This window comes from Homo sapiens, chromosome 14, assembly GCF_000001405.40.
Source record: "Homo sapiens chromosome 14, GRCh38.p14 Primary Assembly".
In the NCBI taxonomy this organism is placed as follows: domain Eukaryota; kingdom Metazoa; phylum Chordata; class Mammalia; order Primates; family Hominidae; genus Homo; species Homo sapiens.
This window is the reverse complement of record NC_000014.9, coordinates 65,315,203-65,340,968: the sequence shown is the minus strand read 5'-3', so window position 1 is coordinate 65,340,968 and position 25,766 is coordinate 65,315,203. Positions and strand designations below refer to the sequence as shown.

The following is a 25,766-nucleotide window of genomic DNA, read 5'->3' as shown; positions in this document are numbered from 1 at the left end:
GTGGCTCACGCCTGTAATCCCAGCACTTTGGGACACCAAGGCGGGCGATCACGAGGTCAGGAGCTCAAGACCAGCCTGGCCAACAAGGCAAAACCCCATCTCTACTAAAAATACAAAAAATTAGCCAGGCATGGTGGCAGGCACCTAATCCCAGCTACTCGGGAGGCGGAGGCAGGAGAATTGCTGGAACCCGGGAGGAGGAGATTGCAGTGAGCCGAGATTACACCACTGCACTCCAGCTCTGGTGACAGAGCAAGACTCCATTTCAAAAAAAAAAAAAAAAGGATAGACAGATTGGCTAGTGACTGTAATCTCAGCATTTTGGGAGGCCGAAGCAGGCAGATCACCTGAGGTCAGGAGTTCAAGACCAGCCAGGCCAACGTGGTGAAACCCCGTCTCTACTAAAAATACAAAAATTAGCCAGGCTGGTGGCACACACCTGTAGTCTCAGCTACTCAGGAGGTTGAGGCAGAAGAATCACTTGAACCCAGGAGGTGGAGGTTGCAGTGAGCCAAGATTGTGCCAGCGCACTCCAGCCTGGGTGATAGAGTGAGACTCCATCTCAAAAAAAAAAAAAGACAGATTTCTGTAATATAATAGAAAGATCATATCAAATATACACCCTGATATGCTTTGGCTCTGTGTCCCCACCCAAATCAAATGCTGAATTGTAATTCCCATCGTTGGGAGAGGGACCTAGTGGGAGGTGATTGGATCATGGCAGTGGATTTCCCCCATGCTGTTCTCGCGATAGTGAGTGAACTCTCACAAGATCTGATGTTTTAAAAGTGTGTGGCACGTCCCCCCTCACTCATTAGCTCTCTCTTGCTCCACTATGGAAAGATGTGCTTTGCTTCCTCTTCACCTTCTGCCATAATTTTAAGTTTCCCCAGGCCTCCCAGTCATGCTTCCTGTTAAGCCTGTGGAACTGTGAGTCAAATCTCTTTTCTTCATAAATAACCCAGTGTATGATAAAGCTATCATGATACAATGAGATCAACAAATATTTTTCTTTTTCTTTTCTTTTTTTTCTTTTGAGACAAAGTCTTGCTATCACCCAGGCTGGAGTGCAGTGGCGCAATCTCAGCTCACTGAAACTTCCACCTCCCAGGTTCAAGTGATTCTCCTGCTCCCAAGTAGCTGGGATTATGGGCATACAACACCATTCCCGGCTAATCTCTCTATTTTTAGTAGAGACGGGGTTTCTCCATGTTGACCAGACTGGTCTCGAACTCCTGACCTCAGGTGATCTGCCCGCCTTGGCCTCCCAAAGTGCTGGGATTACAGGCATGAGCCACCATGGCTGGCCAAATATTTTTCAATAAATGGTGGATGGATAACTGACCAGCAGTTTAAGAGGGAAGGGAAGAATTGAGATCCACACCTTATATATTAAAATTAATTTTGTTTGATTTCAAGTCTTAAAAACATTTAATACTGTGAAGTTCAGAAGAAAATAGGATTGAAAATTTGTCAAAACAGTAGTGGGAAGATGACTCTATAATTATAAGCAATACTAATTGCTTATAGTATAAGCAATAGTACATTGCTTCTAGTATAGCAATATAGTATACTACACAGAAAATATTAAAGTACTTAACTACATAAAAATTTTTTTAGGCTGGGCACGATGGCTAACGCCTGTAATCCCAGCACTCTGGGAGGCCGAGGCGGGCGGATGACGAGATCAGGAGATCAAGACCATCCTGGCTAACACAGTGAAACCCCGTCTCTACTAAATACACAAAAAATTAGCCAGGCGAGGTGGCAGGCGCCTGTTGTCCCAGCTACCTGGGAGGCTGAGGCAGGAGAATGGCATGAACCCAGGAGGCGGAGGTTGCAGTGAGCCGAGATCACACCACTGCACTCCAGCCTGGGTGACCGAGTGAGACTCTGTCTCAAAAAAATTAAAAATTCTTTATAAATAAATTTTATATGTAATACATCACCAGAATTAACAACAAACAACATACCAGGAGTTATATTTACAACAAGAACTATGTCAAGAACTCAGATAAGTTGATAAGAATCCCATTAAGATCTCAGCTGATAACTGAATAAAAACTAACAAAACAATTAACAAAAGAACAAGTATTAACAAACACACAAAAGTAGTCAATTTTACTAATTATCAAAAAGAAGCAAATTAAAAGAAGCATGGTATTTTTTCACTAAATTAATTAAATTAACTTTATTAAATGAACTCCTTTACTAAATTAATCCCTACCAAATTAAAATGGAAATCCCTAAATCCAAACCCAGTAATATCAGGACCTGTATTCCTTGGGTAGTACCATAAATTGATGTAACCAATTAGGAAAGTAATTTTAAGTCCTAAAAATATTTATGCCCTTTGACCTAATAAATCTCTTTGGAGAATGAATCGAGAGCAGAGCAGCAGAAGCCTAAAGCCATTGCCAAAACTCACAGTTTCATCCTTTCATGCTTTCCCTGAATTAGGCCTTCCCAGACCCTATGCCTGTGCTGTTCAATACAGTAGCCACTGTCCACATGCACCCCTCTTTCCTCCACAAGGTAATAAACTCCATAAGAGGTACCCTGTCAATCTTGTTTCCTGCAGAATACTAGATCTTAGAACAGTGCCTGGCACACAGTAGGCGTCAACAAATACTTAGTGAATGAATTTATGAATGAATGTCAAGCTATTCCACCAATCCTCCCCAAATACGCTTTGAGCTTTCTTGTCTCCAAGAAAGTCTTGCCTCAAAGTGTTTGTTTTTGCCCTCTTCTAACCAGAATCTTTATTGCTTATCTAAAACGATGTACTTTGAGCTTCAAGTAGAAACTGCCCAACTCAAAAGCATTTCATGATAAGATTTTTTTTTTAATCTTACAAAAGAAATTCAGGGCCGGGCACGGTGGCTCACGCCTGTAATCCCAGCACTTTGGGAGGCTGAGGTGGGCAGATCACGAGGTCAGGAGATGGAGACCATCCTGGCTAACATGGTGAAACCCCATCTCTACTAAAAATACAAAAAATTAGCTGGGCATGGGGGCAGGCGCCTGTAGACCCAGCTACTTGGGAGGCTGAGGCAGGAGAATGGCGTGAACCCGGGAGGCAGAGCTTGCAGTGAGCCAAGATCACACCACTGCACTCCAGCCTGGGCGACAGAGCAAGACTCTGTCTCAAAAAAAAAAAAAAAAAATTCAGAAGTTGTGCAGTTCCAGGGTTGGGTAATTCCATAGCTCAGCAATGTTCTCAAGGAACCATGCTTGTCCACCTTTTCTCTCTGCCACTCTGCAGCTGTTGCCTTTACCTTCCTCTTTATGTTTGCAAGATGGCAATAGCAGTTCAAGCTCTATGTCCTTAACAACATCTCAAGGCCAGAGTACCTTGCTTCCTTTTGAAGACTTAGAGATTTTCCCAGACGTCCCTTCTGCAGTTTCCTTTTATGTTCCATTGTCCAGAACTATAGCATATGCCTTATTTATTTTATTTTATTTTATTTTATTTATTTTGAGACAGGGTCTCACTCTGTGGTCCAGGCTAGAGTGCAGTGGCTCAATCATGGCTCACTGCAGTGTCAAACACCTGAGCTCAAGCAATTCTCCCACCTCAGCCTCCTGAGTAGTTGGGACTAAAGGTACGCACCACCGTGCCCTGCTAATTTTATTTTTTATTTTTGTAGAGAGGAGGGCTCACTATATTGTCCAGGCTGGTCTCAAACTCCTGGACTCAAGCAATCCTCTCATCTTGGCTTCTCAAAGTATGGGAATTACAGGTATGAGCCACCATGCCCAGGCCAGTACATTCCCATTCTTAAACCAGCCCATTTCTAAACCAGTTACTGGCAAGAGTAGAAAATTTTCATGATTGGCCTAAAGAATCCAGATTCACCTTCCTTGGGCTGGCTGAGTCCCGCATCCCAGAGCTCCTGGTTGATATAACTGAAAGAAGTGGAACTAGGGTAGGAGGCTGCACTCCAGGAGATAAAATGGTCTCAAAATAAGCCCTTGAGACTTTTTATAAGTCACAAAATCCTACTAGTTTTTCAAAGTGCAGCTCAAATCTTGGGTCTTTCATTAATCTTTCCCTTATTATCTTAACCAGAAGCAGCCCATCCCTGCTATAAATTTAAAACCTTGAGTATCGGCCAAAAACACTGGAATCATTCCTGATTTCTCTCTTTATGTCATAAATCATAACCCTATATCTCATCTATCTTGTCTACTCTACCTTCATTATATATCAGAATCTAATCTCATCTCACCACCCTTAGTCTCTTCTCTCTGGTCCAAGCCACCATCATCTTCATCTCATCCCGGATTATTGCAGCACCCTTCTCACTGGCCTCACACTTCTCCTTGTGCACTCTTGGAGTCCATGCTCAGAGTGATCCTTCCAAGGTGTGAGTCCAATCATGTCACTGCTCTACTCAAAGCCCTCCAATGGCTTCAAAACAAAATCTAAAGTCCTTACCACCACTTGCAGGGTCCTCAGTGATCCACTCTGTCACCTCTCTCATGTCCTCTCCTGCCCACAGTCTCCTGCTCACTACTTTCCAGCTACACTGGCCTGCTTGTTCTTAGAACTCACCAAGCACACTCCTTCCTGAGAGCCTTCGTGCTTGCTGCTCGCCTTGCTTAGAAAATTCTTCACAGACTCAGATGACTCACTCCCTCCTTCTTCAGATTTTGACTCAAATGTCTCCTTACCAGAGAGGTCTTCTCTGATCTCCCATCTAAAAAACCACATTCTCTTAACCATGTCACTCTACCCTCCTTAATCTGCTTCATTTTCCTTCAAAGTACTTCCCAGAAGCTGGTGTATTATACATATTTATTTGCTGACACTCATCTTGGCCTCTCAAAGTATGTCTTGTCTCATTAGAACATAAGATCTAGGGGGTGGGGGAATAGGGGAGGGATAGCATTAGGAGAAATACCTAATGTAGATGACGGGTTGATGGGTGCAGCAAACCACCATGGCATGTATATACCTATGTAACAAAGCTGCATGTTGTGCACATTTATTCCAGAACCTAAAAATATATATATACATATATACACATATATACGTGTGTTCCTTATACATATATATATATAAGGAACATAAGATCCATAAAGCCAGGGGTTTTATCTGTTTTGCTCCCTGTTTTTTGAGACAGCCAAGTGTAAAGGGGTCCCCTGAGAAACTCCGACTGGCCTGCGCACTGGGAGAACAGGGTGGAGCTGCAGAAGTTCACACCCTTTGCAGCAGGAAGGAGCCTGGCCTCTCCTGATCCAGGGTAGTACATGGGATTCAATCAGTGAGGCAGGAAAAACCAGCAAGCAGGACTCTCACTTTGCTGAGAGTCCCTGTTTCCATTTATTTTCCTTTTTGCCCAATAAGTTCCATTCTTCTCACCCTTCAAAGTGTCTGCAAGCCTAATCTCTCATGGCTGTGTGACAAGAATCCGGCTTTTAGTTGAACTAAGGAGAAAGTCCTATAACACTTTAGCCTCAGAGCTTACAACAAAACATAATTAGTGCTCCATATATATTTGTTCAATACTTATGTATTCCCTTAATGTTTGTTATCTGTTGGGCATGGTCTCTAGCTGCTATCTTTACACACATCCTGTCTCTTCAACGGGAACATACGATTCTTAAAGGCCAGAGCTGAGTCTTAAAGCTCAAGGCCTTAACATAAAGAGGCCACTCCAAAGTGTATGTTGTTGACATTTGGAGGGAGGATACATTGGGGCAGTAACAGCTGTTGTTATGTTACCTACCCGCTCTTGGCAGGGCCCTGAGAAGCTGAGGTATGAGACACAACAGCATATTTAGGAGAGAGATGCCGCCTTGCTCCTTGAACAGGAGGAGCAAGGCGGCATCTCTCTGATACTAAAAGGAGAATACGGGAGCACCTTTCTTACCTACATTTCCCCTGGAACTAGTCTTTCCACTTGCAAGTTTGTTTACAATTCCACGTTCTTTGCAACTGAATGGGGCCTCACCCTCATTAATTGGTGGCAAAGGTCACTCCTTAACAGATGCTAAACAGAAGCAGAGCAAAGTTAAGGGTGGCTAAGGTCACACAGAGTCGTTGCTCAAATTTAGGAAGGAAACCCACCTAGTGTGAGGTGGGGCCCCAGGAGGGGCATCTGAGCCCCAAGAGAGCAGCTCTCTTTAGCCCCTGCTCTAGTTTCTTTGCAGTTCTCCTAAAGAAGTTCACCAGCAAGGCCATTTACCAGACACCAGGGAATCAGGCCACTTTCAAATGTTGATAGCATTACGCTTGCCAGAGGAGAAAGGGACAAGTGAGGAGACTGAAGACAGTGCTTTCAAGAAAAAGAAGAAAAAGATATTGAATGTGCACTCGCTAAGCCAAAAAAGCAAATGCCAGGAAGAACCGTGAGCCTTGTTTGAAGCCAAGTCTGCGCAGAAGAGTCCCAGGTGTAGGGAAGGAGGAGCTGAGGTGGTCTGAGGACGCACAGCAAATGCCCTGGGGGGTGGGGCGGGAGGAGAGAACATATTTTAAGCAACCTTAAAAGACTCGTTTTAGCATTCCGCAGGAAATGAAAAGCAGATGTGTTGGTTTGGAACTTGTTTACATATTTGGCCTCTGAGAAGCTTCCAGGACAGTTAGGACTGGAGAGAAGGGGTATTTTAGGCAAATGCTATAGTCTCCACTTGGAGAGAGTGGGGCCCTTCATTGGCTCACCTGCTTCCTGAGAAGCAAGCATTTAGGCTGAAAGACCATCATTGTCCCTAAGACAGGTCTGGCTAGAATAAACCAGGATTTGATATACAGAACTGGTCTCCTTGTACCTTCTTACAGAAACTAAGGGTTGTTGCACCTCCTCTCTTGCTTTCAAGTCACACCCACTGGGCAGAGAAGTGAAATCAGAGGCCTGGACATTGGGAGGATGATGGGATGGTTCACACCAAAGGTCCTGAGATTTGCAGAAGGCTTGTTAGAATACAGATTACTGGGTCTCACCAGCTCAGCCGAGCTAAGATGAGGCCAGTGGCTACACACTGGAATCATCTGGAGATTAAAATAGACTGATAGCTGAGCCCTGTTCCCACAGATTCTGATATTAATTGGTCTGGGGTGTGACTTAGGCATTTTTTAAAAATTATTTTTAATATATAATAGAGAGGGGGTCTTACCATGTTGCCTAGCTGGTCTCAAACTCCTGGCCTCAAGCAGTCCTCCTGACTCAGCCTCCCAAAGAGCTGGGATTATAGGCGTGAGCAACCATGCCCAGCTGACTTGGGCATTGTTTAAAGCTCTCCAGATAATTATAAGGTATAGCCAAGGTTGAGAACCATTGAACTATTTATCTTTTACCTGCTCTCATCATTCCATCCCTAGATTAACTTCAATTTACCTTCATAACATGTTCACAAGGTGGTTAGGACCACAGGAGACCGTGGGATCTAAATTAGGCATAAACCTGGATTTAGAGAAGGGGCTAAAAGAATATTGCTCTCAGAGACATCAACTATCAAAAAATCTATGTAAATGCAGGCAATTCCCCTTTTTTGTAGTATGTCCAGGAAATGGCGCTCCTTAAAAGATATTTTTTAGTTGCTAAGGGACAGGAAAAGTAGCAATCTTTAACACTTATTGAGCATTTATTATGTGCCAAGTACTCTTCCAAGTGCTTTCATTTTAAATTAATTTAATTTCCACAACAGCTCAATGATGTTGGAGCTGTTATTTTCCCCATTTAGCAAATGAGGAAACTGAGATACTAGGAGATGAACTAATTTGTCCAAAATCACACAATTAGTCAGTGGTAGAGCTGGCTTTCAAATTTTGGTGTGCCTCTGAATTACGGAGACTACGGAGACTCCGCTGAGAAAGAAAAATAGCTCAGATCAGTCTGAGCTATGTGAAGTATACAAAATTTATCAAGCCTGGAGAGACAGGAGTATGGGACTTCAGTCACATCTCTGCGCCCATGTCCAGGGCAACTGTGTAAAGGCATTTTGTTCCTGCTTAACTGCCTTACCCATTATCTTCATGTTGGAATTTGTGATGCAAAGAATAACACATACCCAATCAATAGCTTATGTTATTTTAGTATAAATTCTTGGTAAACAATTTAGGAGCTGCCTCTTCTTTATTCCTTAAAAATCCTCTTGTAGCTATTTCTAATCAGAGTGTGGGTTTAGGGCAACTTGAATCTATGCTCTTGGGTGGCCACCCTCAAGCTTTGAGCTTGAATAAACTTGAAGCCATCTTCACCATGTTAACAAGAATTCTGGACAGAAATATAGTTATGATTAAGCATTAATTAGGCTGCACTGTGGCTCACTTCCTTGTAACAACAGGAAGTGAAAGTTGTGGAGTACTAGATCCTGACCACTTGCATCCTCATTGTTCCTACAGATAGTATTTCTGTCTGAGGTTAGAATCATCAGGCCTCTGATTAAGATAGATAGAATCTCTGACATTAGAATCATAAGGCTTTTGTTTAAGAATTGCTTAAGATGTTTTTCAGATCCCAAATTTGAGCTGATGCCAACAAGTTTGAAGACCCCCAGAGGAGAGCAGAATCAGCATGAGAATATAGTTTCTTCATCTCCCTGTTCTATGACTTCATCCTGCACCCTTGGGCCAAGCAAAGATCTCCACACTTCAGCCCACTCCAAAATCACTAAAAATTCTAGACCCAAATTCCTTGGAGAGACTGATTTGAGGTTTCCTCCCATCACATTCAGCTGCCCTACAATTAAACCTCTTTCTCTCTTGCAACTAGGTGTTTCAGCGTATTGACTTGCTATGCACATTGGGCAATGAAACGATTATGGTTACAAACTCTATATTTAATCATCTCTTCAGAATCTCATTAATTTAGGTTGTGAACCCCAAATATCTGAGACAGGTCTCAATTTAGAAACTTTATTTTTTCAAGGTTAAGGATGCACCCGTGACACAGCCTCAGGAAGTCCCATGACATGTGCCCAAGGTGGTCGGGGCACAGCTTGGTTTCATACATTTTAGGAAGACATAAGACGTCAATCAATATATGTAAGATGTACATTGGTTCAATCAGAAAGGTGGGACAACTTGAAGCAGGGAGGGGGCCTCCAGGTCATAGATAGACAAACATTCTTTTGAGTTTCCAATTACCCTTTCCAAAAGAAGCAATCAGATATGCATTTATCTCAGTGAGCAGAGGGATGACTTTGCGTTCTGTTTGTCCTTTGTCCAAAAGGAATTTCCTTGTAGACAAATTGTGAGGCAGGTATATAGCTTTTTTATCTTAGTAGCTATCTCCTTTAAGGAATAGAATGGGAGGCATGTTTGCCCTAAGCAGCTCCCAGCTTGACTTTTCTCTTTGGGGGGGTCCAAAGATTTATTTTCCTTTCACAAGGTTGACACTGTTCAAAATACTAATGACCAGGCTCTAACCGAGACCAACTGGATCAGGATCTCCTGGAGTGGATCTTTATCAAAATTATTATTATTATTATTATTATTATTATTATTATTATTATTGAGATGGAGGCTCACTCTGTCACCCAGGCTGGAGCGCAGTGGCGTGATCTCAGCTCACTGCAACCCTCCACCTCTTGGGTTCAAGCGATTGTCCTGCCTCAGCCTCCTGAGTAGCTGGGATGACAGGCACGCACCACCATACCCGGCTAATTTTTGTATTTTAGTGGAGACAGGGTTTCACCATGTTGGCCAAGCTGGTCTCAAACTCCTGACCTCAAGTGATCAACCTGCCTTGGCCTCCCAAAGTGCTGGGATTACAGGCGAGAACCTGGCATATCAAAATTATTTTTAACAAATCTCCTAGAGAGTTAGTTGTTGGACAAGATATGAGGCCACTGTTGGGGGTTATTTATTTATTTAGAGACAAGATCCCTCTGTTACCCAGGCTGGATTGTAGTGGCACTGTCATGGCTCACTGCAGCCTCAACTTCCTGGGCTCAAGTGATCCTTCTGCCACAGCCTCCCAAGTAGCTAGGACTACATGTACACACCACCATGCCCAGCTGATTTTTTTGTTTTTTGTAGAGACAGAGTCTCACCATGTTGCCCAGACTGGTCTAGAACTCCTGGCCTCAAGTGATTCTGCCTTGGCCTCCCAAATTTCTGGGATTACAGGCTTGAGCCACTGTGCCCAGCCTCACTGTTGGGGTTTAAAATGAAGACTTTGGAATCAGGTTATCCTAGGTTCATTATTTTGCCACCACTTACAACTGGAATCTTTTAACAAATTCCCCATTCTCCCTTTGAATTTTCATTTCCTCATCTGCGTTGGAATGATTATACTTAGTTCTTGAGATTGTTCTGAAGATTACATGGGTTTAAGGTACTTAGCATAAAAATAGAGGCTGGAACATTGCAACTCCAGAAGGTATTTTGAGACATTAAACAGGTCCTCCCTTCTACCATCAACAAAACACACTTCACCACATTCTACTGCTCTGCAGACCCAGGCATGCCCTGCCCCAGGGAAAAGTGAGGTTATCATAGCTGGAATGCCAAGAAAAAGAAAGTCAGTGGTTAACTTTTGAGATTCAAATGAGATTGCTGAACACAAGACCTAGATTTGAGAGAAAATACTTTTTGAGCATTCAGGAACTCTTTGGCCCTAAATCGTTATTTTGAACCAAATAAGAACGGTCTGAAAGAACTCTCCCCACTCCTCCATGCAAGATTACCAGCCCCTAGATACTTTCGTAGGGTTATCTAGACTGGAGAGATGTGTGGTCTCCAAGGAAGGCCCCTATCATCTTCCCAGGGTGAATTATTTTAGCAGAGAGGGAACTCTGGCTGGCAAGTAGAACACAAGATAAGCCTTGAGGAAACTAAGAATAGAGGAAATTTGTGTCTACTTCCTATCTAGGGAGGGCAGCTGACCCCACACATTTGCTTATGCTACAGTGATATGGGGTCAACAGAGCACAGATGGTTGTTCGGGTGATGGGGGAGAGAGCTCAGTGACAGCCTTGTTTCTGGCTGTGGTAGCTGTGGGAAAGTAGCTGGACTGCCCCACTGTCATGCCGAGAAGTGCTCAGAGGTGAGCTGAGAGGGAGAGTTGGCAGCTCAAAGTGGTCATGCCATGGAGAAACAATGATGGATGGCAGTGCAAACCAAAAATTCTAAGCCCCCAGCCACCTGAATGGACCTCCTCATCTCAGCAAAGGACATTCCAATGTTAACCTGAAAAGTTAGTTCAGGCCATGATGGGAAGGGGGGTCAGACATGCTTCATCATACCTTCCTCTCTTTGAGTATTCAGGAAAAGCTGACCAGCATTAACATCAGCACAGACCTTAAGACTTGTTAACAGACTAAGTCTGACAAACATTTACAGTCTATTCCCTCTGAAGTCTGCTGCCTGGAGGCCTCACCTGCATGACAAAATCTTGGTCTCTACAACCCCTTATCTTAACCCAGGCATTCTTTTTTCTGAGACAGGGTCTCGCTCTGTCACCCAGTCTGGAGTGCAGTGGCGCAGTCTCACTCACTGCAACCTCTGCTTCCTGGGCTCAAGCAATTCTCCTGCCTCCACTTCCAAGTAGCTGGGATTGCAGGCGTGAGCCACCACCCCAGCTCATTTTTGTATTTTTTGTAGAGATGGCATTTCATCACGTTGCCCGGGCTGGTCTTGAACACCTGAGCTCAAGTGATCTGCTCACCTCAGCCTCCCACAGTGCTGGGATTACAGGCATGAGCCACTGCACCTGGCCCAGACATACCTTTCTATTGATAATAACTCTTTCAACCAACTGCCAATCAGAAAATCTTTGAATCTGCCTATGACCTAGAAGCCCCTGCTTCTGGTTGTCCTTTCTGAACCAAACCAATGTACATCTTACAGGTATTGACTGATATCTTATGTCTCCCTAAGGTGTATAAAACCAAGCTGTAGCCTGACCACCTTGGGAACATGTTGTCAGAAACATCTCCTGAGGGCTGTGTCATGGGCCATTGGCCACTCATATTTGGCTCAGAATAAATTTCTTCAAATAGTTTACAGAGTTTGACCCTTTGTCAATAGCAGCATGAGCTGAGCAAACTAGATGGGCATACAGCTGCTTTAGAGGACAACACGGGGCTATGCTAGTATCTCTGGATGCCCAGGGATGAGCTGTTCCCCATCTCTGGAGCTACCAACTCCGAGCACATGGTGTTACAAGGGTTCCTCCTTCCCACTCTCCTACAATTGAGATTCCAGCTAAAGGAGATCAAGGGAGAGAGGATGAGTATGAATGAATGAATTTCCTACTGGATTAATTTTTCTGCATTACACAGAATGAGAGTCTAAGATCAAAATTGTGTTCTGTTTTAGAAAATCACAGATGTATCCGTACATATCTAAAACTATCTCATAAAATTAATGCCTGCTAATCATTAGAACTATCAAGCTTCCCAAAACTCAGCAAGATGAGCAAGACGTAGTATGGCTCCCTAAAAAGTAGCACAACAATCAATACGAAATAGATTGAATCAGCAGATATCTTTAAAATGGCAGTGTGTTTACAAGGAGTTTTGAGTGACATAAAAACATTGAAAATTAAATATTGAGGACAGGCGCAGGCTCATGCCTATAATCCCAGCACTTTGGGAGGCCAAGGCGGGCAGGGGTCAGGGGTTTGAGACCAGCCTGGCCAACATGGTGAAACCCCGTCTCCACTAAAAATACAAAATTAGCCAGGCATGGTGATTGGTGCCTGTAATCCCAGGTACTCGGTAGGCTGAGGCAGGAGAATTGCTTTAACCTAGGAGACAGAGTTTGCAGTAAGCAGAGATGGAACCACTGTACTCCAGCCTGGGTGACAGAGTGAGACTCCGTCTCAAAAAATAATAATAATAAAAATAAATAAACATTGAAAAAGGGGAGTGGAAGCCCAGCATTATTGCAACACTGTCTAGGGAAGAAAGACACTGTGTCTGTTAGACTGGATTGTTATTCCAGGTTCTGAGTGGTGTCCCTGCAGTCAAACCTCCAGAGTTCCTATGTTCTACTGTGGTCTGGATGCATAGCCCATGAAGCTATTCAACGTGCTTCACTACAGTTTGAAATTCACCGATGACAAACTTGGTTTTCCAAACACCTAAAGGAGAGAGGTGCAAATAGTAGGCACAAAGGCTCTGCTATGTTGAAACGTGTGCCCTGCCCTGTAAACCCACACATTGGGGTTCTGGTTTACAAATAAGTCTCTGGTGAGTTAATTAATGGATGCCTCCTAGATAGGGTTGTCAGATGTAGCAAATAAAAATACAAATATTGGGGCCAAGTGCAGTGGTTCATGCCTGTAATACTAGCACTTTGGAAGTCTGAATTGGAAGAATCACTTGAGGCCAGGAGTTCTGGACCAGCCTGGACAACATAGTGAGACCCTGTCTCTACAAAAAATTTTAAAAATTAGCAGCTGGGCACGGTGGCACACACATGCAGTCTTAGCTGTTTGGGAGGCTGAGGCAGGAGGATCTCCTAATCCCAGGAGTTCTAAGGGTTGCAGTGAGCGGCAATCGCAGAACTGCACTCCAGCCTGGGTGACAAAGAGAGACTCTGTCTCTAAAACAAAACAAATATCACATGGGATACACTTATACTAAAAATTATTCATTGTTTATCTAAGATTCAAATTTTACTGGGCACCCTGTATTTTTCTGTCAACCCTACCAGAGCCTGCCCACTGCCAGGTATACTAATAAAATGGAGATCCTACATCTGCAAGGCTGAGGACCAGTCCTCGCCCCAAGACCACCCTCACCAACATAATGCTGCTCTCAGGGAGCCCACCTAAGTAACCAGCCCAAGGTTAGGTTAGGTTAGGTTTAGACTTTCACACACACACACAAACACACACACACACACACACACACACACATACACACACACACACACACACTGCCCCTCTCTCTCCCCCTCTCTCCTCTCTCTCTCTCTCTCCTTTTCTCTTCTCTCTTCCTTTTATAAGTATTTTTTTATTAAAAATCTTTTTTTTGTTTGTTTTTTTGAGACGGAGTTTCGCTCTTGCTGCCAGGCTGGAGTGCAATGGCGCGATCTCGGCTCACTGCAACCTCCGCCTCCCAGGTTCAAGCGATTACCCTGCCTCAGCCTCCTGAGTAGCTGGGATTTCAGGCATGCACCACCACGCCCGGCTAATTTTGTATTTTTAGTAGAGACGGGGTTTCTCCATGTTGGTCAGGCTGGTCTTGAACTCCCAACCTCAGGTGATCTGCCGGCCTCGGCCTCCCAAAGGGCTGGGATTACAGGCATGAACCACCACACCTGGCCAAAAATCATTTTTAGCCGACACACACAACAAAACATATTTATGGGACACATAGTGATATTTCAATACACATAATATATAGTGATCATCAGATCAGGGTAATTAGCATATCCATCATCTTGAACATTTATCTTTTTTGGTTTAGAGACAGGGTATTGCTCTGTTGCCCAGGCTGGAGTGCAGTGGCTTGATCATAGTTCATAGTTCACTATAACCTCAAACTCCTGGACTTAAGCAATCTGCCTGCCTCGGCCTCCAGAGTAGCTAGGACTATATGCATTCACCACAACCTGGCTAATCAAACATTTATCATTTATTTGTGTTGGGAACATTCAATATCCTCTTGGAGTTATTTGAAACTATATAATATACTACTGTTAACTATAGTCATCCTACAGTGCTTTAGAACACTAGAATTTATTCCAACTTATTCCTCCTATCTAGCTGTAATTTTGTATCCTTTACAAATCTCTTCCCATACCCACTTCCCGCTACCTTCCCAAGCCTCTAGTATCCTCTGTTCTACTTTTTACTTCCATAAGATCGACCTTTTTTAGTTTCCACATATGGGTGAGAACATGTGGTGTTTAACTTTCTGTTCAAGTTATCTGGTTTATTTCACTTAGCACAATGTCCTCCATTCCATCCATGTTATTGCAAATGACAGGATTTTGTCCTTTTTATGGCTGAGTAGTATTTTATTGTGTATATATACCACATTTTCTTTACCAATTCATCTGTTGTTGGACACCTGGGTTGACTCCCTATCTTGGCTATTGTGAATAGTACTGCAGTAAATATGGGGGTGCAGATGTCTCTTCAATATGTTGATTTCATACCCTTTTAGTATATACCCAGTAGGGGGATTGCTGGATCATATGGAAGTTTGATTTGTAGTTTTTTGAGGAAACGCCATACTGTTCTCCATAATGACTATGCCAGTTCGTGTTCCCACATAATAATCTTCATTCCTTCAAAGTTGATAATATATATGCCTGTTTATCTATAGACACACAGTATCGGGAGCTGAAGAATGAATAGTTCTAAGCCAGGCTTGTTGTTAGGTTGAAAAAAAACCCAACCAGCCAACCACCAATTTGGTTTTTCTCAAGCTGTCAGCTGAAGCAGAGAGAAGTAAAATGTTAAGTTGAGGGTGTTTTAAGGAACAAAGAAGATGCTATACTTGATCCCATATTCTCTTTATTTATACACAAAGTAAACAATCTCCCTTATTAAGCTTTCCAGGAATTTACCACCTGTTAATTCCAAGACCAAATTCACAACTTGGACAATACATGTATAAAATTGAAAGTCATTTATTGGTGGCATCCAAGGAGGTAATGAACATTATTAACAACATCTATTATGTTGTAAGATTAGTTGCTTCCCTGCAGTAGCTAGTCAAATATGAATTCTTATTGTCTTTCAATAAAGAGAATTTCTATTCCTTTTTTTTTTTTTTTTTTTTTGAGATGGAGTCTCGTTCTGTTGCCCAGGCTGGAGTGCAGTGGCGCAATCTCGGCTCACCGCAACCTCTGCCTCCGGGGTTCAAGCGATTCTCCTGCCTCAGCCTCCCGAGTAGCTGGGATTACAGGCAAGTGCCACCATGCCCGGGTAATTTTTGTATTTTTTTAGTAGCGAAGGGGTTTCACCCTGTTGGCCAGGCTGGTCTCAAACTCCTGACCTCAGGTGATCCGCCAGCCTTGGCCTCCCAAAGTGCTGGGATTACAGGCGTGAGCCACTGTGCCGGGCCAAGAATTTCTTTTCCTTTACCTGACTCTCCTTTCTGATTTTTGCCTAAATCATAATCCTGGGCTTTACTATCCATTACATCCTGAGATCCTTAGCCTTCAGATAACCTTATAGAAAAATCAGTTAATGTAACTGTGTAGGGCCACCTCATTTGTTGTACCTAGGGAAAATTAAGTTAGGAGGATCACCACAGAATAAACAGGGGAACAGGTTTGGCCTGTGATTCAGTGAGCAAAAAAGATCTTGCTCTTTTCCCAAGCCAGCTCTCCTCTCTTTCTCAGCACTAACATATTATAGGATGTCAGTATCTTTTTTTTTTTTTTTTTTTTTTTGAGACAAGAGTATCGCTGTGTTGCCCAGGATGGAGTGCAGTGATGTGAACAGGGCTCACTGCAGCCTCAACCTCCTGGGCTCAAGCAATCCTCCTGCCTCGATCTCCTGAGTAGCTGGGACTAGAGGCGCACACCACCATGCCAGGCTAATTTTTTAATTTTTTTGTTTTTGTTTTTGAGACAGTGTCTTGCTGTGTCACCCAGGCTAGAGTTCTCAAGCGATTCTCCTGCCTCAGCCATCCGAACAGCTGGGACTACAGGTGCCTGCCACCATGCCCGGCTAATTTTTGTATTTTTAGTAGAGATGGGGTTTCACCATGTTGGCCAGGCTGGTCTCGAACTCCTGACCAAAAGTGATCCGCCTGCTTTGGTCTCCCAAAGTGCTGGGATTACAGGTGTGAGCCACCGTGCCTGGCTTAGGATGTCAGTATCTTATACTTGACTGTGGCTTCCCTTTATCTTCTTCTAAAGAGGTTTCTGCCCTCTCTAGAGAGACAATATTGATTCCTTATCCCCAGATCGGATGGAGTTAAGTTCATGCTACTTGACTCCAGCCATCATCAACCTCTTCCATTCTAGACATAAAGTGCAATTTTTGCTAAGGAACTAAAGAGTCTCTCTGGTAAAGTGTGATTTAGGTCATTCTTCTAGATTCGGGTTTTAATTCACGGCTGGCATTTCCAAAGTAGTTTAGGGTGAGCATCTGAAATAAATGAGTCATCTCGGTCCTTCTATTTCTTCTATTTCCCATTATTTTCCAACTTAAACATCTAGGGACTAAAGATTAATTTATCCTCCCAATGCTGGCAACAGGCAAGTCATTCTGTAATATATATTGGGAAATTAATGGACTTCCATTAGGGGAGAAGTAAACAAAAGTTGATAATATATATGCCGGTTTATCTATAGACACACAGTATCAGGAGCTGAAGAATGAATAGCTCTAAGCCAGGCTTGTTGTTAGGTTGAAAAAAAACCCAACCAGCCAACCACCAATTTGGTTTTTCTCAAGCTGTCAGCTGAAGCAGACAGAAGTAAAATGTTAAGTTGAGGGTGTTTTAAGGAACAAAGAAGATGCTATACTTGTTCCCATATTCTCCACCAAGTCAACCCTCCTTATGTGGCAGGGAGAGCTGCACTCAGACCCCGGATGCCTAGGGAGAAACTGGGAGGAATTTTTGCTCCCATCGCAGGTAGGATCTGGTGGTTTGTTGAAATCCACGTGGTTAGGAAACCTCAGATTAATCACCTGAGTGGTTTGGGAGACAGGTTGCTAGAGGCCAGAGGCACTCAGAGGCAAAAGGACACTGAGGCTTTATAAAGGCTCCTTCCATGGTGGACACTTGACAGCAGACACAGCAACCTACGATATCAGCCTCAGCGTTTACTGTTCCCCTACTCCAGAGTACAAAATATCTCCCTAGGTATTGAGCAAAAACACTGCGAGAACCATTCAACCTACTTCTATATAAATGTAGTCTTCATACTACATTAGACATTTTTTTTTTTTTTTTGAGACGCAGTCTGGCTCTATTGCCCAGGCTGGAGTACAGTGGCGTGATCTCGGCTCACTGCAACCTCCGCCTTCCGGGATCAAGCGAGTCTCCTGCCTCAGCCTCCGGAGTAGCTGGGATTACAGGCATGCACCACCGCGCCCGGCTAATTTTGTATTTTTAGTAGAGACGGGGTTTCGCCATGTTGGTCAGGCTGGTCTCGAACTCCTGACCTCGTGATCATCCCGCCTCGGTCCCCAAAGTGCTGGGATTACAGGTGTGAGCCACTACACCCGGCCGACATAAGACGTTTTGTTGGCTAACATTAGTACAGCACCCTAGAGTTTGTAAAGTGCACTCAGATCGATGGTCTTAATTGATCCAGTTGCACACAAACCTTATCATGATGTTCTGATTGTGAGCCATCAGTAAATAGTGGTGGTACTGAAGTTCTCCAGAACATGTCTCAGTCAGGGAAACCCTTCAATATGGTCTTACAAAGAAATATTAGTTTATTTGATAACTGAAAAGACAGAGGGTCTTGCTCTGTCACCCAGGCTGGAGTGCAGTGGCTTGATCATGGCTCACTGCAGCCTTGAGCTCCTGGGCTCAAGTGATCCTTCCACCTCAGCTTTCTGGGTAGCTGGGACTAGAGGCACACACCACCACACCCAGCTAGTTTTTAATTTTTTTTTTTTGTAGAGGTGGGGTCTTGCTATATTTCCCAGGTTGGTCTTGAACTCCTGGCCTCAAGTAATCCTCCTGCCTTGGCCTCTCAAAGCACTGGGATTACAAGTGTGAGCCACTGCACCTAGCCATAAGATATATTTAAGACAAAAGCTAATTGGTGTTGGCAGGTAAAACTCAAGAAAGGTGCAGGTATCCAGGTCCTCTTCTCTCCCTGGATCCTGTAGACAGTTGGGCTTTTTGGGGTGCAGCTGGATGCACCATCAATCATCTGAGGAGGGACCCCTGGTACCTCTTCCTTTTCATAGGTCAACTTGAGAGGGACTTTGCTGTGGTGGGAAAGTATTTCAGGGTTCAGACACTGATCAGCATGAGCATAGGGGCCCAAGGCTTAAGGAAGTGCTATGAAATGCCCAGCTAGTGTCTTCAGATCTCCTGGTACCATAGGAAGTTGAAGTTGGGCACAGCCAGCCTCTCCTCTTGGGGAAACAGTAAGGTAGCCCATTGCCAGGCAAACCCAAAAGGAGCTCTTAGGACCATTCATTGGATATTCCTATTTGTCACACCACACTTTCTACCCATATCCCCCAAACTTAGCTAGTACTTAGAACATAAAAAGTACTCCAAAAATAACTACAGCTGCCATTAATTGAGGGCCTATTGTGTGCAAGTGACTTGGCATATTTTATCACTAGTTCTCACAATGACTGTGCAAGATAGGTATTATTAGCTCTATTTTATAGATGAGGAAACAGAAGCTAGAGAAGGCTAAGTGACTTGCTTAGTAATATGCAAGTCACATAGAGCTAGTAAATGGTGGAGCTGAAATATGAACCCATATCTCTGTGACTCCTTTTACCCCCAGGCTATGTAGCCTGTCACTGTGAACATAGTCTCTCTCCTCTCCTCCCCACTGGCCCCCGTACATGTGTGTCTGTCTGTCTCCAGCTCGACCTCTCCCTGTCCTGCTGTCTCTGTTTCTCTCTCATCTGTGGGTAGGTTCCCACCACTTCCTTTCCTGAAGTCCATGCCTTGCGTGCCTGCCTACTGAAATGTGCTTCACCAGTGAGGCCTCCTGACCCTTCTGCATTGTCACAAGCTGGCCTGGATGATTTTTCTCACCTCACCCAGTCTAGTTTGCTCTCTACCTTCCAAGCCCAGCAGGTACTTGAAAAGTAGTGGTCATCTGCTGTTAGTAAAAGCTCCAAGTAAGAAAAATGTAAGCTAAACTAGGAGCAGAACAAAAAGGAAGTTAAGAGATAAGAACCAAACCTGGTTTCTTGGCAGGGCACTTAGGGAAAGAATGACCCAAGGTCAGTCAAACCTGCACCCTAAAGCAGGAAGGGCCTCTGGCCTTTTCACTCAGCAAGATGCTCAGGGGACAACCCAGAACATAGTGACTCTGGCTGAGGACGCTGTTACATTCCCCAGGGACTTGTAAGGCCTAACAATCACCATCCTCCTCCCGCTCCTCCTCATCAAATGCATTTATTAAACAGCCTAATTATTAAACAAGGCAGGTGGAAGAGAAAGGTGGGAAATTGGAAGGTTGAATCAAGCTTTTTAAAAAGCTAGAAAAATGACTCACTTTGTGTAACCTCTCATTTGGAGAAAAAAGTGGATGTTCCTGATCCAGCCAGGTACATTTTTAGACCTGTAGGGGAGAGATAGGGAAACAGACCATTTTTTCTCTCAGTCACAACTACTGTGAGCTCAGAGCTGAACTGCCAGGCCTCTAGAATAAATTCAGAGGATTTATTCTTCCAACAAGGGCCAGAAAACTGACAGAATCACAGGCAAGAATAATATCTGTTCAAGTCAATGTTTAGAATATTAGAAGTGTGAAGACATTTTATTAGCAAATCCACCAGATTTTCTCCTTAAGGTAAGAAATTGTGCTCTATTTTTTTCTCCTTCCTTTTTCTTTCTTTCTTTCTCTCTTTCTTTCTCTTTCTCTCTCTCTCTTTCTTTCAGAGTCTCACTCTATTGCCCAGGCAATCTCAGTTCACTGCAACCTCCACCTCCTAGGTTCAAGTGATTCTCCTGCCTCAGCCTCCTGAGTAGCTGGGATTACAGGCATGCACCTCCATGCCCAGCTAATTTTTGTATTTTTAGTACAGAGAAGGTTTCATCATGTTGACCAGGCTGGTCTCAAACTTCTGACCTCAGGTGATCCACCCACTTTGGCCTCCCAAAGTGCTGGGATTACAGGCATGAGCCACCACGCCCAGCTATTTAGTTTTAAATCCTGGGATGGAGCCCAGTGTCTGACACAGAGAGATGCTCAATAAATGTTTGCTAGGGCCAGGCATGGTGGCTCATGCCTGTAATACCAGCACTTCAGAAGGCCAAGGCAGGAGAATCATTTGAGCCCAAGAGTCCGAGACCAGCCTGGGCAATATAGCAAGATCCCCATCTCTACAAAAAAAAATTTAAAACAATTATATTGAAAAGCTTACTAGGATAAAATTGAAGGCAAGAGCTGAGTCTTGCACAATTTTGTATTCCATTCAGTGCCCAGCACTAAGTGAATGAGTGCCTGCAGGCATTAATGAATGAAAAATGCACTTTTTGATTTGCCTTTGAAGGAAAGCATATGCCTTTGCAAGCAGTGGTATCATCTTCCTAATTATCCAAGAAGTCTGTGTTCTCTTCTTAATTTCATTTTGATTTTGTTCCCTTAAGAAGACAGAGCTTTTGCTAAACGAATCTGGCTACTAAAAAGAAACAGTTCTGCTGGCTTTTCTTCTTCCTCATGTAGTGGCAAACAGTCCTGAACTTCTGGATCTGTCAAGGTATTTCCTATGTTCCTGTCTGGGCACAGGTCAGGATTCTCCCAGGAGCTGGTCTCATTTGCCTTCAGCTTTCCTGGTCCTCCTGTCGAATCTCACCTCTCCTCCTTGTTCTTTGTTTTGCCCCAGTTGAGTTTTAATCCCTTTTGCCCAGCAGCTCCCTCCTCTCCCAGTACAGTAAATCTCATCTCTCTCAGTGTAGCACATTAGCACATTTACGTGGAAAGTATTTAATACATATGGATCATATGGGTAGCCAAGAAAGTACATGGTCTGTGGGGGGGAAACTGAAGTAGGAGCAGGGAGAGGCAAGAACCTTTTCTCAAAAGAGTCCTGAGTGTGGCCAGGCACGGTGGCTCACACCTGTAATCCCAGCACTTTGGAAGGCCAAAGGAGGTGAATCATTTGAGGTCAAGAGTTCAAGACAAACCTGGCCAATATGGTGAAACCCGGTCTCTACTAAAAATACAAAAATTAGCCAGGCAGTGGTGGCGCATGCCTGTAATCCCAGCTACTTGGGAGGCTGAGGCTCGAGAATTGCTTGAGCTTGGGAGGCGGAGGTTGTGGTGAGTCAAGATCATGCCGCTGCACTCCAGCCTGGGTGACAGAGTGAGACCCTGTCTCAAGAAAAAAAAAAAAAAAGAGTCCTGAGTGGAGGGATAGTAGGGATCAGTGATGAGCTTTCTTTTCACAAACAGAAACAGGTGTGAGTCACTGAAGGGGCTTCATTTGGGAGATGAAGTACATTTCATTCTATCAGTTCCCTTCACAAATATATAAAAGCTCCCTATTTTACAGCTGAGGAACTGAAACTCAGAGAGGTTAGGAGACTTCCTGACCACACCTTCAGGCTGAGCTAGGTACCCCTCCTCTAGGCTTCTCTCATGGGACCTCTGTCTTAGTGCTCATCACACTGTGATACAGTTACTTACTAATATCTTTTTCTACTCAATTTTCTGTGCACTCACAGAAGGCAGAAACTGTACCTTTCATTTCCATGATTCTCATGGATAAAGCCCTCAATAAATGTTTGCCAGATGAATGACTTGCCCAAGGTCACACTGCTAATATATGGCAGAACCGGGACCAGAACCAAGACCTCCGACTCCCCAGATCCCATATCCTTGCTGTTCTCCTGGGATGTTTTCTGGAAGAAAATGAGCTGTGGGCCTAAAAAGAAGCCAATCAAGCATTTGGCAGGTTAGTGAACTATACTGAGAGATTTTTTTTTTTTTTTAACTTTCATTCTCCTTTCTTTTTGCTATTGTCAAGAATTTTAGGCAGTTACTCAGAGCTGAGCCAGGTGGGTCACATCTATAATCCCTGCTCCCAAAATAGCTGAATTCATCATGTCTTCAGAGGGGGAGGCTTTGCCGATAAAAGTGAGGGCTGCAAATCTCCACAGATGGCTTTCTCGCTCCCTCTCCTGCCCGCCTGCCAGGTGTGAACAAACACTTTGAAGTAATTTGGGGATGCCTGGGAGGAAATGTCAAAGGCTGTGCTTCATGGTTCTTAAAACATTGGAGAGTTCTGATCTTGCTGGTCCCGCACAACTAGGCTGGAAATCTCATGAGAAAAGGCTTGTTTCTTTTCTCAGCTGGTCACACACATTGATGATGGAGGGTCCGTTCTTGTCAACCACAAGCAAGATGCTAGCACTTGACTTGGATAATGTGAATGCGGCCAGACACTGAGAACAAAGAGGTGCCAGGCCTGCACTGCTGCTGACAGTAGAAGGGATTGTCTCGTTTCAAAGGAAAACTCAGAATAGAAAGGCAGCAGAGACAAGGGGTCCTGACAACTGTATCTGTAGTGGTCAAGAGTCCAGGCTCGGCCGGGCGCGGTGGCTCACGCCTGTAATCCTAGGACTTTGGGAGGCCGAGGCGGGTGGATCACGAGGTCAGGAGATCGAGACCATCCTGGCTAACATGGTGAAACCCCGTCTCTACTAAAAATACAAAAAATTAGCCGGGTGTGGTGGCGGGCGCCTGTAGTCCCGCTACTCGGGAGGCTGAGGCAGGAGAATGGCGTGAACCAGGGAGGCGGAGCTTGCAGTGAGCGCGATGGCGCCACTGCACTCCAGCCTGGGCGACAGAGCGAGACTCTGCTTAAAAAAAAAAAAAAAAAAAAGAGTCCAGGCTCTGGGGCTAGATCTGCCTGGGTTCCGAACTTTGTTCTACCACCTCCTAGTTATCTTACCTTGGGCAAGTTACTTAACATTGCTGTGCTTAAATCCTCATGTGCCAAAAGTCATGAACATCAATGAGCTAATCCATGAAGTTTCATTCCTCTCCATTTGCCCTTCCAGTTCCATTCTCTATCCATTTCTTCATCCCTGCTCTGTGCCCTAAGAGATCAACCTCTAAGACTGTATCACCCAGTGTCCTTTGCCCTCTGGCTTCTAGCTGGATTCATCCAAAGGAGCTAATGGCAGAAGACATTGGCTGCTCAGAAGGATAATAAAGAGCCCAGGTGTTTAATCCCCTGGCTTTCACAATGCTAGGTCACCATTTCAACAGAGGCTGTATACCTCTACCTCCATCCCCAGCCACTGTCAGGCAGCCCTCTCCCTCAAAGAAGCTCCATAATGGTCCCATTATCTCTGCTCTCTCCTCTTACCCTTTCAGACCTAGAGACGCTAATGGCCTCAGCATTGCTTGTTGAGCACCCTAACCCTATGCACGCTTCTGCACATAGTCCCTATGTTAAATTCTCTTCACCATTTGAGTGTCCCATTTGTCTTCTTTCAGCACCTTGACTAATGTGCCTGATGCATAATAAGTATTCAATACAATTTTTCTATTTATCTTCCTTCTTCTCCTTCTATTCTTTCATTATCCTCATCACCCTTTTAATCCTTGTTTGTTTGTTTGTTTGTTTTGAGACGGAGTCTTACTTTGTCACCCAGGCTGGAGTGCAGTGGCACAATCTTGGCTCACTGCAACCTCTGCCTCCCAGGTTCAAGCGATTCTCCTGCCTCAGCCTCCCAAGTAGCTGGGACTACAGGTGCCTGCCACCACACTTGGCTAATTTTTGTATTTTTAATAGAGATGGGGTCTCACTATGTTGGTCAGGCTGGTCTTGAACTCCTGACCTCAAGCAATCCACCTGCCTTGGCCTCCCAAAGTGCTGGGATTAACGGCATGAGCCACTGGGCCTGGCCCTTAATCTTTTTTATTATCAGCTTAATATTAAGCAGAAGAGCTGGGGGAGATTGTATTTGTTTTCTACTGTTGCACAAGTTGTACAACTTAGAGCTTAAAACAACACACATTTATTATGTCACCATTTCTGTGGATCAGCTGGGTTCTCTGCTTTCAGGATCTCACTAGTCAGGGCATTGGCTAGGGGGCTGCAGTCTCATCAGAAGCTTGGCTGGGGAAGGATATAGTACCAAGATCCCTCTGGTTGTTGGTAGAATTCATCTCTTTGCAGCTATAGGAGTGAGATCTCAGTTTACTTGCTGGCTACTGTCAGCTCCTAGGGGCTGCCTACTGTTCATTGCCATGTGGCCCTCTCTGTTAGGTCCTTTCACCACATGGCAGCTTATATCCTCAAGGCTGACAATGGGGAGAGTTTCTCTGACTTAGGGAGGTCCTAGTCACTCTTTAAAGGGCTTTCTCCTGACTAAACCAGGCCTGCCCAGGATAATCTCCCTTTTTATGAACTCAAAATGAACTGATTTGAGACCTCAGTCACAATGCAAAATCCCTTTGCCTTGCCATGTGATGTAACCTAATTAAGGGACTAACACCCCTTTACCTTTGGAAGTCACAGGTTCTACTTGTGGTTTAAGGGGAGGGGATTACACAGAGGTGTGGGCACGAGGAGATGGGAAATCATCAGTGGTCACCTTAGGGTCTGTCTGCCACAGAGGTCTCATCAGAAGGTGGGGCAATACTCACTCAGCAGCTTTTCTGATAGTTTTTCACTAAGGTCAGGAAGGGGTTCTTGCCAGCAGGAAAGGACAGGGACCAACACAAACTGAGCACTTGCTCTGGGCTCTGCATTGTGCCCTCCACTTTCCCCTTTGGTCCTCTAACATCCCTGTGAGTGTCCACTATTATCTCTGCCTTCTGAATGAGGAGGCTGAAGAGCAAAGAGGTTGAAGCAATTCACACAAGGCCGCACAGATGCCCCCTCTTTTTTTTTTTTTTTTTTTTTTGAGACAGAGTTTCGCTCTTGTTGCCCAGGCTGGAGTGCAATGGTGCGATCTCGGCTTACTGCACTCTCTGCCTCCTGGGTTCAAGTGATTCTCCTGCCTCAGCCTCCCAAGTAGCTGGGATTACAGGCATGTGCCACCATGCCTGGCTAATTTTGTATTTTTAGTAGAGACAGGGTCTCTCTGTGTCAGTCAGGCTGGTCTCAAACTCCTGACCTCAGGTGATCTGCCCATCTCAGCCTCCCAAAGTGCTGGGATTACAGGCGTGAACCACCGCGCCTTGCCGCCCCCTCTTAAATTCTTAAGATTTTCCGCTGACCAATATG

The 25,766-nt window shown here is 44.4% G+C and overlaps 1 non-coding gene across 1 annotated transcript, besides 7 other annotated features; it reads left to right on the top strand.

Annotated features, from left to right (window-relative positions):
* Window positions 4,538-4,687: an enhancer, noted in NCBI's record as "active region_8560". NCBI's record gives its function as "activates an Ori minimal core promoter by ATAC-STARR-seq in GM12878 lymphoblastoid cells {active_cell/tissue: GM12878}" and the evidence as "EXISTENCE:reporter gene assay evidence [ECO:0000049][PMID:35858748]".
* Window positions 4,748-4,847: an enhancer, noted in NCBI's record as "active region_8559". NCBI's record gives its function as "activates an Ori minimal core promoter by ATAC-STARR-seq in GM12878 lymphoblastoid cells {active_cell/tissue: GM12878}" and the evidence as "EXISTENCE:reporter gene assay evidence [ECO:0000049][PMID:35858748]".
* MIR4708 (microRNA 4708) lies at window positions 5,786-5,852 on the top strand. Its single transcript, NR_039857.1, has one exon. It is a non-coding gene; the product is annotated as a microRNA 4708 (primary transcript).
* Window positions 9,801-10,411: an enhancer, noted in NCBI's record as "H3K27ac-H3K4me1 hESC enhancer chr14:65797276-65797886 (GRCh37/hg19 assembly coordinates)". NCBI's record gives its function as "activates a minimal SCP1, AML or CMV promoter by ChIP-STARR-seq in primed H9 embryonic stem cells {active_cell/tissue: H9 hESC(primed)}" and the evidence as "EXISTENCE:reporter gene assay evidence [ECO:0000049][PMID:30033119]".
* Window positions 11,271-12,042: an enhancer, noted in NCBI's record as "H3K27ac hESC enhancer chr14:65795645-65796416 (GRCh37/hg19 assembly coordinates)". NCBI's record gives its function as "activates a minimal SCP1, AML or CMV promoter by ChIP-STARR-seq in naive H9 embryonic stem cells {active_cell/tissue: H9 hESC(naive)}" and the evidence as "EXISTENCE:reporter gene assay evidence [ECO:0000049][PMID:30033119]".
* Window positions 19,283-19,372: an enhancer, noted in NCBI's record as "active region_8558". NCBI's record gives its function as "activates an Ori minimal core promoter by ATAC-STARR-seq in GM12878 lymphoblastoid cells {active_cell/tissue: GM12878}" and the evidence as "EXISTENCE:reporter gene assay evidence [ECO:0000049][PMID:35858748]".
* Window positions 19,593-19,702: an enhancer, noted in NCBI's record as "active region_8557". NCBI's record gives its function as "activates an Ori minimal core promoter by ATAC-STARR-seq in GM12878 lymphoblastoid cells {active_cell/tissue: GM12878}" and the evidence as "EXISTENCE:reporter gene assay evidence [ECO:0000049][PMID:35858748]".
* Window positions 21,773-21,992: an enhancer, noted in NCBI's record as "active region_8556". NCBI's record gives its function as "activates an Ori minimal core promoter by ATAC-STARR-seq in GM12878 lymphoblastoid cells {active_cell/tissue: GM12878}" and the evidence as "EXISTENCE:reporter gene assay evidence [ECO:0000049][PMID:35858748]".